This window comes from Homo sapiens, chromosome 14 (assembly GCF_000001405.40).
Source record: "Homo sapiens chromosome 14, GRCh38.p14 Primary Assembly".
NCBI lineage: Eukaryota > Metazoa > Chordata > Mammalia > Primates > Hominidae > Homo > Homo sapiens.
In genome coordinates this window covers 73,863,983-73,876,739 of record NC_000014.9, presented here as the reverse complement: position 1 = coordinate 73,876,739, position 12,757 = coordinate 73,863,983, and the positions used below count along the sequence as shown (strand labels likewise).

At 42.7% G+C, this 12,757-nt stretch overlaps 1 protein-coding gene across 13 annotated transcripts in view; it reads right to left on the bottom strand.

Annotated features, from left to right (window-relative positions):
• PTGR2 (prostaglandin reductase 2) overlaps positions 1-12,757 on the bottom strand; it is a 33,896-nt gene that overhangs the window by 8,987 nt on the left and 12,152 nt on the right. For 8 of the 13 annotated variants that reach the window (NM_001146154.2, NM_001371327.1, NM_152444.4 and 5 more), the window contains exon 4: positions 2,526-2,717. In NM_001146154.2, the coding sequence (NP_001139626.1) occupies positions 2,526-2,717 (192 nt within the window). Of the gene's footprint in view, positions 1-2,063; positions 2,157-2,272; positions 2,718-12,757 lie in introns of those variants that run through there. The other 5 variants (NR_163921.1, NM_001371330.1, NM_001371331.1 and 2 more) reach the window with 2 other exon arrangements.

Genomic DNA, 12,757 nt, shown 5'->3' with positions numbered 1-12,757 from the left:
TTTGGGAGACCGAGGCAGGCGGATCACCTGAGACCAGGAGTTCGAGACCAGCCTAGCCAACATGGCGAAACCCCATCTCTACTAAAAATACAAAAAATTAGCAAGGCATGGTGGCATGCGCCTGTAATCCCAGCTACTCAGGAGGCTGAGGCAGGAGAATCGCTTGAACCCAGGAGGTTGCAGTGAGCTGAGATCATGCCACTGCACTCCAGCCTGGGCGACAGAGTTAGACTTCATCTCAAAAAAAAAAAAAAAAGGACTTATGTCCTTAGAAGAAGAAGAAACAAGATCTATCTCTCTGCACACCCACAGAGGAAAGACTGCCTGAGGACACAGCAAGAAGGCAGCCATCTGCAATCCAGGAGGAGGGGCCTCACCAGAAACCAAATTTTCCAGAACTCTGATCTTGGACTTTTAGCTTCCAGAACTGTGAGAAAATAAATTTCTGTTGTTTAAACCACCCAGCCTGTAGTACTCTGTTATGGCAGTCCATCAGTATAATAAATAACCCAATATGGTTTATAGAAGAGTAAACCATTCATCAGTCTTGCTAAAATTCTATACTTTATTTGTAAAGAGTAAAAAACAATATTACTTCTCTTTATATTAAAGAAACTTTAAGGCCGGGTGCGGTGGCTCACGCCTGTAATCCCAGTACTTAAGGAGGCTGAGGTGGGTGGATCATGTGGTCAGGAGTTCAAGACCAGCCTGGCCAAAATGGTGAAACCCCGTCTCTACTAAAAATACAAAAAATTAGCCAGGTGTGGTGGTGGGTGCCCAAAACCCAGCTACTCAGAAGGCTGAGGCAGAGAATTGTTTGAACCTGGGAGGTGGAGGTTGCAGTGAGCCAAGATTGTGCCACTGCACTCCAGCCTGGGCGACAAAGCAAGACTCCATCTCAAAAAAAAAAAAAAAAAAAGAAACTTTTAAAAAATTTCCCATGTAAGAGACAAAATATTCTTTCTTGTTAATGCCCCAAGTATGGGAAAAAAAAAAAAAAAGGAAGTGCTTAACAGAAAAATACTTGGCAACAATGGAAGATCTTTAAGTCTCTGAGCAATTCCAACATAAACATGTACCTATAAATATCAACTCAGGCCGGGTACAGTGGCTCACGCCTGTAATCCCAGCACTTTGGGAGGCCAAGGCGGGTGGATCATGAGGTCAGGCATTCAACACCACCCTGGCCAAGATGCTGAAATCCCATCTCTACTAAAAATACAAAAATTAGCCAGCCATGGTGGTAGACGCCTGTAATCCCAGCTACCCAGGTGGCTGAGGCAGGAGAATCGCTTGAACCCAGGTGGCAGAGGTTGAAGTGAGCCGAGATCGCGCCACTGCGCTCCAGCCTGGGCAACAGAGCAAGACTCTGTCTTGAAAAAAAAAAAAATCAACTCAAACTCCAACAGTTCTCATTACTAATGCTTAAAATGTACCATTAAGGCTGGGCACAGTGGTTCACACCTGTAATCCCAGCACTTTGTGGGGCTGAGGCGGGAGGATCGGTTGAGGCCAGGAGTTCAAGACCAGCCTGGGCAACATGGTAAGACTCTTGTTTCTACAACAAGTTTAATAAAAATGGCTGGGTGCAGTGACTCACGCCTGTAATCCCAGCACTTTGGGAGACCAAGACAGACAGATCACTTGAGGTCAGGAGTTTGAGAACAGCCTGGCCAACATGGCAAAACCCCATCTCTACTAAAAATAAAAAAAATTAGCTGGGCGTGGTGGTGCACACCTATAATCCCAGCTACTCGGGAGACTGAGGTGGGAAGATCACTTGAACCCAGGAGGCAGAGGTTGCAGTGAGCCAAGATCACTCCAGCCTGGGTGACAGAGTGAGACGCCGTCTCTAAATAAATAAAGTCATTAGCAGACCCAGTCAGGCTATTACCTATTCTTTTGGCAGCTGCTCTGAAACAACTTTTATTACCTGAGAGACTTTATCTACAATAAGATAACCTTTGTTTACCATGCAATTCCTCCCCTTTCCCTTTTTGTTGCCATTTCCCCCAAAAACCTCAAGCCCCATTCCTTTAGCTATAAAAACTTCAAGCTCACACCTGTAATCTCAGCACTTTGGGAGGCTGAGGTGGGAGGATTGCTTGAGCCTAGGAGTTTGAGACCAGCCGGGGCAACACAGTGACAACCCATCTCTAAAACAAACAAACAAGCAAAGAAACAAATAAAGAACACCTTCAACCATCTGGTCCCTCCTTTGAGTCTCCTATTCTTCTGTGAGGCTCCAGTGCACATACATGAATTAAAATGGTTTTTCTCCTGTTAATCTGTTTATTGTCAGTTTATTTTAGCAGGCTCAATTATCAAACCTTCAGAAGGACAATTTAAACTTCCCTACACAGCTAACAGTGGAAAAGGAACAAAGGCTTTCCACATTTTGGCAGCTAGCTAAAAGAAAATATATGCTTTTATTTTTCCCTGATTACAAACACAACTGAATATCAAATGCACAAAGTAAGAATTATACGGGGAAAAAAAATCAGATATGTTCATATATATATCACCTTTTCAAGGCTATTTCCATCCAGAATAACCTTGGTTTGCCAGGGCCAATAGAAAGAAGTCACAAAATCGCCTTTAGTCAAATTTGTGTGTTTGCTTTCTTCTATAATTCCAATACCTCCTCCATCAACGACTTGAGATAGCTGCCAAGGTGTTATATAATCAGTGCCAGTGTCTTCATTCATTCTACAACGCTGAAAAAAGAAAACATTAAGATAATTTTATCCAATAATGTCAAACCACTCTACTAATTTACCCAATGACTAAAAGCATATAATGAGTAATATATTGCACACAATACATAAAAATCAACTCAAAATACATTCAAGACTTAAACATAAGACCTGAAACAACATAGTGACTATAGTTAATAACAATGTATTATATACTTGAAAATTGCCACTGGCTGGGAACAGTGGCTAACAATGTATTGTATACTTGAAAATTGTCACTGGCTGGGAACGGTGGCTCAGGCCTATAATCCTAGCACTTTGGGAGGCTGAGGCGGGCAGATCACTTGAGGTCAGGAGTTCAAGAACAGCCTGGCCAACATGGTGAAACCCCATCTCTGCAAAAATACAAAAATTAGCCAGGCATGATGGCGGGTGCCTGTAATCCCAGCTACTCAGGAGGCTGAGGCAGGAGAATCAATTGAACTCGGGAGGTGGAGGTTGCAGTGAGCCAAGATTGCACCACTGTACTCCATCCAGCCTGGGCAACAAGAGCGAAACTCCGTCTCAAAAAAAAAAAAGAAAAGAAAAGAAAAAAAGAAACTTGCCATAAGGGTAGATTCTAAGTGTTCTCACCACAAACAATAAGTATGTGATATAATCCATGTTAATTAGCATGTTAGCATGATATAGCCACTGCACAATATAAACATATTTCTTTTTTCTTTTTCTTTTTTTTGACATGGAGTTTCGCTCTCTTTGCCCAGGCTGGAGTACAATGACGCGATCTAGGCTCACTGCAACCTCTGCCTCCTGGGTTCAAGCGATTCTCCTGCCTCAGCCTCCCGAGTAGCTGGGATTAGAGGCATGTGCCAACATGCCTGGCTACTTTTGTATTTTTAGTAGAGATGTGGTTTCTCCATGTTGGTCAGGCTGGTCTCGAACTCCCAACCTCACGTGTACTGCCCGCAGCCTCTCAAAGTGCTGGGATTACTGGCATGAGCCACCACGCCTGGCCTGTAAACATTTCAAAACATCATGTTGTACACCATAAAAAAAATTTTTTTTTTTTTTGAGATGGAGTCTCTGTCACCCAGGCTGGAGTGTAGTGGTATGATCTGGGCTCAGTGCAACCTCCACTTCCTGGGTTCAAGCGATTATTCTGCCTCAGCCTCCCGCATAGCTGGGACTACAGGCACGCACCACCACACCCGGCTAATTTTTGTATTTTTAGTAGAGACGGAGTTTCGCCATATTGGCCAGGCTGGTCTCGAACTCCTGACCTCGTTGATCTGCTGGCCTTGGCCTCCCAAAGTGCTGGGATTACAGGCGTGAGCCACCATGCCTGGCAACAATTTTTATTTGTCAATAAATTTGTTTTTAAATAAAAAATTAAAAAACTGAGGTGACAGTTGCAAAGCTCTGTGAGTATTCCAAAATTCACTGAATTGTACATTTAAATGCATGAAATGTATGCTAGTGAATAAAGCTAAAAATTTAAAAGAATTACTTAAGGAAACTGAAGTAATATTATACACGTTATACCAGCAAAAAATAATACAAAATAGTGTTTTGATGGTTTCAAAGGATTGTGGCCAATTAGGTTACACTCACATGTTGCTGATATTATAAAACTATTTTTTATGGAAAACAAACTAGCAACATATACACCATAAAACTTGATTTCTTTTGGGCTAGCAATTCTGTCTCCCCAGTGGAAATAACCCAAAAAGAAGTGAAGTGAATTTTATACAGTTGCTCATCCCAACTTCAGACCAAGTACGCTCCCTATTTCATGCCCCCTAACCTCAGATAAGTGCTCTCTTCACCCCTCAAAGACAGAATGTCACAATGGGACTGCACCCCATCTCAAGAGGAAGGCTAACAACTTCTCTTGGTAGCAGTCAAGGCTCTCTTCCTCTGTGGCTCACTCTTGCCTCTATCATGAAATCCAAAATGTAGAGGACGACAGCACGGACCAGGAAATGGAAAACATGGAAGGACACCTGATTAAGGGGTCCCATGTGGTTCGGTGTACCCAGGTAAAACGGGTAAAAGACGAAACAGAGAACTGATGCAGAAGCTTCTGTAAGAATACATTTGCTTCTGCTTGTGTGCCACCTCCCACGTATTCCTTAAAAGCAAGTGCAGCCATAGACACTGGCCAGACCAAGGGCACTTAAACACAGCTAGTAGGAAAAATGGAAATAAGCTCTCTGAGATATAGGAAAAAAATCTACTTTTTCCTCCTTTCACTCACCACTCAACACTTCTAAAAACAGATGTGGAGGGGTATTTCCCCATACACCAACCAAGCAATTCTGCAGAGGACATCAACTGGGTGTCCCCTAATTCCATTCAGTTCAACTGTGACACTATCTACCTGGATATAGTGTCAGGTCCCACAGATTAAAGGCTCAGTCCCACAAGACTGCACCTACTTCAGATGCCAATCTCAAGCCCTAGGTTATGGTCTGTGCTTCTGACAAACTGGCTATAAATCAGGGTCCCCACTCTACCCTCTCCTTTGGTTTAATTTGCTAGAGCACCTCACAGAAGTCAGAGAAATACTTTACTCACATTTACTGTTTATTATAAAGGATATTACAAAGGATATAGATGAATAGCCAAATAAAAATAATAAAAATTTTTTAAAAAGACAAAAAAAGAACAAAAATTAAAAAAAAAAAAAAAAAAAAAAAAAAGATGAACAGCCAAATAGAAGAGATGCATGGGGTAAGTTATATGGGAAAAGGCGTGGAGTTTCCACACCCTCTCCAGGTGCACCACCCTACAGGAATCACCATGTGTTCAGCTATTTGGAAACTCCTCAATCAGGTCCTTTTGGGTTTTGATGAAGGCGTCATTATATAGACATGATTGATTAAACCACTGGCCATTGGTGATAAACTCAACCTTCACCTGCTGTCCCCTACCTGGAGGTAAGGTGGTAGGAATAAAAGTTCCAACCCTCTGATCATATGGTTGGTTGCCTTGGTAACCAGCCCCCATCCTGAGGCTATCCAGGAGCTCCCAACCACTTGTCATCTCATTAGAATACAAAAAGACACCTTGGAGATTCCAAGGGCTTTAGGAATTGTGTGCCAGCAAAGAGCAAGAAGACCAAATATTTCCTATTATAAATCACAATATCACACAAGTAATTCCCTATAGCTAAACAAATGATGTCAACAGAACAGAATGTTATTAACCACTAAAATAATAATATTTGAACTAGTTTTTCCATATAAAGTCACTTAAAGAATATGAAAGCACATCTGTAAACCCACCACTTTGGGAGGCTGAGGCAGGAGGATCGCTTGAGGCCAGGACTTTGAGACCAGACTGGCCAACACAGTAAGACACTCCTCTCTGTCAAATGAAAATAAAAATTTTAAAAAGAATAAAAAGAATATGAAAGCCAAGTTGTATATGCACATTAAGGATAATCATGTAAAATACTGTGTACACATAATGATTAATTTTAGTTGTGAATTTGGAATGATATAAAATCTCAATTATTTAATGTTTGTTAGACTCCCTTTTCCCTTTTAAAGCTGCTTAAGAGGTCTGGTGTGGTGGCTCATGTCTGTAATCCCAGCACTCTGGGAGGCCAAGGCGGGCAGATCACCTGAGGTCAGGAGTTTGAGACCAGCCTGGCCAACATGGCGAAACCCCATCTCTACTAAAAAATACAAAAATTAGCTGGGCGTGGTGGCAGGCATCTGTAATCCCAGCTATTCAGAAGGCTGAGGCAGGAGAATCACTTGAACCCGGGAGGCAGAGGTGGCAGTAAGCCAAGATTGTGCCACTGCACAGAGCAAGACTCTATCTCAAAAAAAAAAAAAAAAAAGGTTGCTTAAGATTTTTCTATTTTTTAGAGTTGGGGTCTTGCGTTGCTGCCCAAGCTGGACTTGAACTCATGGCTTCAAGCCATCCTCCCACCTCAAGTCTCCCAAGTAGCTGGAATTACAGGCCCAAGCCACCATGCCCAGCTGATTCTTTTTTTTTTTTCTCTCTGAGACGGAGTCTCTGTCACTCAAGCTGGAGTGCAGTGGAATGGCACAATCTCAGCTCAATGCAACCTCCGCCTCCCCGGCTCAAGCGATTCTCCTGCCTCAGCGTCCTGAGTAGCTGAGATAACAGGCACATGCCACCACGCCTGGCTAATTTTTGTAGTTTTCGTAGAGACGGTGTTTCACCATGTTGGCCAGGCTGGTCTCAAACTCCTGACCTCAAGTGATCCGCCCGCCTCAGCCTCCCAAAATGCTGGGATTACCAGCATGAGCCACCTCGCCCAGCCTGATTATTTTTTTTAAAGGAATGAGGCATAGAGAATGTCTAGTGAAAGTATCCCAAAGTGATTTTTCTTCCTTCCTTTATGCAATTAACATTTAATAAACATTATGCTAGTCACTGGAGATACAGTGATAAATACGAACTTTGTTTTCATAAACTTTTTTTTTTTTTTTTGAGGCACGGTCTCACTCTGTTGCCCAGGCTGGAGTGCAGTGGCATGATCACAGCTCACTACAGCTTCGACCTCCTGGGCTCAAGTGATCCTCCCACTTCCCGGGCTCAAGTGATCCTCCCACCTCCCGGGCTCAAGTGATCCTCCCGCCTCAGCCTCCAGAGTGGCTGGTGCACCTTAACACTCACCTAATTTCCTTTTTTTGGTATTGATGGCATCTTTCTGTGTTGCCCAGGATGGTTTCAAACTCCTGGGGTCAAGTGATCCTCCTGCCTCAGCCTCCCAGTGTGCTGGGATTATAAGTATGAGCCATGGCACCCAGCCCATAAGCTTACTTTTTACTAAGGAAGACAGATAATCTAATAACTACACAAATGTAATTATTACTTTCAATTGGGATAAATGCTGAATGTCAAGAGGAAAATATCAAAGAGAGGTCTGGACTAGTCTGAGGGTTCAGGGTGATTTACCAAAGGAAATCTCTTTAAAGCAGGCATCTAGGGAATAACAGGGATTACCAGGTAAAGGGAAAGGAGTGGGAAGAGGCTTTTAGATAGAGGGCCAACATGTATGAAGGCTTGCTTTAATATGTACCTGGGACTCTGTTTTAACCAGGTATGGTAAAATGATAGATACGAAGACAACTGCCTTGAAAGAAGAATTTCTTACAGTTGCCGAGAGGGGAGGGCACAATATGCCAAGAAGGGTCGCATGGGGAAGCACAAGAGTTGGTCAAGAGGGCAAAGGAGCAAGGAAGAGCATGGCCCAGAGTCTTCTTTTTTTTTTTTAAGGAAGAAGTATCTTTGGTTTCCACAGGAAAGAACGGGCAAGGCAGGGTAGGTAACCTTGAGTATATTACATGACAGCTTTAATAATGTCAGAGGGCTCTGATATACAGGGGTGGTTCTTAAGTTGTGCAGCATCTGGCCCTGAGGTGATTTAAGGCAGGGGAGTGTGAGTTAGATAGAGGAGGAGTTTAGGGATATGGGCTTTGGATTGGTTGGTTTGTATATGAATGGCAAGACTCAAATGCAAGTTGTTATCTCTAAAAATAAGCAAATCCTGCCAGGGACAGTTACTCTAGGATTCACAAGCCCCCTAAGATGTCAAAACATCCTAAAATACACTAAATTAAAAACATGATTCATACAAAGATTAAGCAGAAGGGGGCACTGATGTGTTACAAAAGACAGACATCCACTGAGGCAACAGTGTGAGGGTAATTGGCAGGCTTCTCTGAGCCTGGACAGGTAAAGGAGTCAGGTTATGTAGCTTCTTTTTTTTTTTGAGACAGAGTCTTGCTCTGTTGCCCAGGCTGGAGTGCAGTGGCGTGATCTCGGCTCACTGCAACCTCGGCCTCCCGGGCTCAAGTGATTTTCCTGCCTCAGCCTCCCAAGTAGCTGGGACTACAGGCATGTGCCACCACGCCTGGCTAATTTTTTTGTATTTTTAGTAGAGACGGGGTTTCACTATGTTGGCCAGGCTGGTGTCAAACTCCTGACCTCAGGTTATCCACCCACCTCGGCCTCCCAAAGTGCTAGGATTACAAGCGTGAGCCACCGTGCCTAGCCCAGGTTATGTAGCTTCTTAGACCATGTCAAGGCTGATTGGTCTCAATTCCAAAACTAATGGGAAGCCATTAAACCACTTTAAGCAAGGTGACACAATTAGTTGCTGTTATAAGAAGAATCACTCTGGCATTCTGGCTGCAGTGTGAAAAATGGCTTAAAGGGGCAAAGTGTGTATGCAAGGGTACCTACCCCATTAGGAAAGAAACAACGGTGATTCAGACTAGGTAGACTTCCCTGGAATTACTAAGACATGGACTGAATTGAGAGGTATTTAGGAGGTGGGATCCACAGGACCTGGTAGAGGCAAAATTCTCAAGACTGTGCTTTCTAGCATGAAATGAGTAAGTAGACAAAATATTTACTTCCCTGGAGGAAAAAGAGGTTTTTTGGTTTTTGTTTTTGCTTTGAAGTTGGGAGTGTTCGAAGTGAAGATCATTAATTCAATTTATATTATAATCCTAGTTGTTCCATCATTTTTCCTCCCCTAAAATCTTTTTTTTTTAAAGACAGAAAGAAATTAATGAACACCCAAATAAGTAGAAAGACATCATGCATTCATGGATCAGTGTATTAGGATATTGTTTTCATCAGAATTCTCCAGAGAAACAGAACCAACAGGATACATACATATCTATGAAGAGATTTATTATAAGGTATTGGCTCATGCAGTTAGAGAGGCTAAGAAGTCCCATTATCTGCCATCTGCAAGCTGAAGACTCAGAAAAGCCAGCAGTGTGGTTCCAGTGAATGAGAGCAGGTAAGCTGACAGTAGAGATTCTAGTCCAGATCTGAAGGCCTGAGAACCAGGAACTCTGAGGACAGGAGAAGAATGATGCTCCAGCTTAAGCAGTCAGAGTTAGTTCAACCTTCTTCTTCTTCTTTTTTTTGTTTTTTTGTTTTTTTTTTTTTTTTTTTTGAGACAGAGTCTTGCTCTGTCACACAGGCTGGAGTGCAATGCCGCGATCTTGGCTTACTGCAATCTCCGCCTCCCGGGTTCAAACAATTCTCTTGCCTCAGCTTCCTGAGTAGCTGGGATTACAGGTGCCTGCCACCACACCCGGCTAATTTTTGTATTCTTAGTAGAGACGGGGTTTCACCACGTTGGCCAGGCTGGTCCTGAACGTCTGACCTCAGGTGATCTGCCCGCCTCAGCCTCCCAAAGTGCTGGGATTACAGGTGTGAGACACCGCACCCAGCAACCTTCTTCTACATTTTGTTCTCCTTAGGCCCTCAATGGACTGGATGATGCCCACCCACATTAGAGAAGGACATCTGCTTTTTTCAGTCCACCAATCCAAAAGCTAATCTCTTCTAGAAACACCCTTGCAGACACACCCAGAAATAACGTTCAACCAGCTATTTAGACATCCCATGGCCTAGTTAAGTGGACACATAAAATGAACCATCACAGAAGACAATACTCCCCAAATTGATCTACAGACTCAAAGCAATCCCTATCAAAATCCCTATCAAAATCTTCTGTGCAGAAACTGACAAGCTGGTTCTAAAGTTCATATGAAAATTCATGGGACCCAGAAGAGCCAAAACAATCTTAAAAAAGAAAAACAGGCCAGGTGGGGTGGCTCACACCTGTAATCCCAGCACTTTGGGAGGCTGAGGCGGGAGGATCACAAGGTTAGGAGATCAAGACCATCCTGGCCAACATGGTGAAACCCTGTCTCTACTAAAATACAAAAAATTGTTCAGGCATAGTAGCTCATGCCTGTAATCCCAGCACTTTCGGAGGCCGAGGTGGGTGGATCACCTGAAGGTCAGGAGTTCAAGACCCACCTGGCCAATATGGTGAAACCCCGTCTCTGCTAAAAATACAAAATATTAGCCAGGTGTGGTGGTGGGTGCCTGTAGTCCCAGCTACTCAGGAGGCTGAGGCAGGGGAACCACTTGAACCCGGGAAGTGGAGGTTGCAGTGAGCCAAGATAGCGCCACTGCACTCCAGACTGGCGACAGAGCAAGACTCCATCTCAAAAAAAAAAAAAGAAAAACAGATTGGAAGACTCACACTTGCTCATTTCAAAACTTATTACAAAGCTACAGTAATTAAGAGAGCGAGGTACTAGCATGACAGATATACAGATTGCTAGAATAGAGTTGAAAGTCCAGAAATAAACCCTCATATTTATGGTCAGTTGGTTTTCAACAAGAGTACTAAGACAAACCAATGAGGAAAGAATTATCTTTTCAACAAACAGTGCTGGTTCATGTCCCTTCGTGGTCAAATATTTCTGGTCTCTCTTAAAAAAAAAAAAAGTGCTGACACGACTGTATATTCACTTGCAAAAGAGTGAAGTTAGGTCAGGTGTGGTGGCTTGCACCTATCGTCCCAGTTACTTGGGAGTCTGAGACAGGAGAATCACTTGAGCCCAGGGAGTTTGAGATTGTAAAAAAGAATGAGTTGGGCCCTGTGATGGATAATTTTAGGCGTCAACTTGACTGGATAGAGGAATGCCTAGATGGCTTGTGAAGCATTGTTTCTGGATATGTCCTTGAGGGTGTTTTCAGAGGTAACTAGCAGGTGAGTCTGTGGACTATGTGGTGAAGATCTGCCCTCAATGTGGGTGGGCACCATCCATTCAACAAGGAGCCCAGATGGAACAAAAAAGCAGGTGAAGGACAAATTCTCTCTCTCTCCTGCAAAGCAGGACACCCTTCTTCTCCTGCCCTCTGACATAAGAACTCCAGGTTCTTCAGCCTTTGTACTCTGAGACTGCACCCATGGCTTCCTGGGCTCTCAGGCCTTGGGACTGACAAGTATACCAATGGCTTCCTTGGTTGTCGGGCCTTCCAGCTTGGATTGAGCCATGCTACCAGCTTCTCTGGTTCTCCAGTTTGTAGACAGCCTATCATGGGAACTCTCAGCTTCCATAATCTTGTGAGCCAATTCCTCTTATAAGTCCCCTCTCATATATATGTGTGTGCATGTCTGTGGGTGCATGCCTATGTGTGTGTTTGTGTTTCTGTCTCTCTAAAGAATCTTGATTAATACAGACCCCTTCCTCATACGCATACATAGAGTTTAACCCAAAATGTGTTACTGACTTAAATGTTAGAGCAAAACTATAAAACTCTTAGCAGAAAATATACGACTAAATCTTCATGACCTTAAGTGAGGCAAAGCCTTCTTAGATATGAGTCTGAAAGTATTGAAAGTATACGTGACAAACAAAAAAAGAGATAAATCGGACTTTATCAAAATTAAAAACTTTTGTGCTTCAATGGATACTATCAAGAGAATAAAAAGACAACCTACAGCATAGAAGAAAATATTTATAGATCATACATCCAGCAAGAAGCTTATATCAAGAATATATAAACAACTCTTACAACTCAGTAATAAAAACACAGATAATCCAACTTTTAAAATGCACAAGAAATCTGAATAGACATGTCTCCAAAAAAGACATGCAAATGACCAATAAGCACATTAAAAACATGCTCAACATTATTAGCCATAAGGAAATACAAAAGAAAACCACAAGGAGATATCACTTTACACCAACTAGAATGGCTATAACCAAAAAGACAGATAATAACAAGTGTTAGTGAGGATGTGGAAAACTGGAACCTTCACACACTGATGGTGGGATTGGAAAATGGTAAAGCCACTTTGGAAAATAGTTCGGTAGTTCCTCAAAAGGTTAAACATATACTTACTGTATGACCTAGTAATTTTACTCTTATGTATATACCCAAGAGAAACAAAAACACAGTCCACACAAAAACATATACACAAATGTTCATAGCAGAAGTATTGCTAATAGCCAAGTTGTGTAAACAACCCACATGTCCATCATCTGATGAACAGATAAGATACTGTATCCATACAATGTAACATTATTCAGCAATAAAAAGAAGTATAAACTACAACATGATGAGCCTTGTAAACACATACTAAATGAAAGAAGCCAGACACAAAAGGTCATATATTATGCCAGGCACAGTAGCTCCCACCTACAACCCCAGCTACTCAGGAGGCTGAGGCAGGAGGATCCCTGGAATTCAAG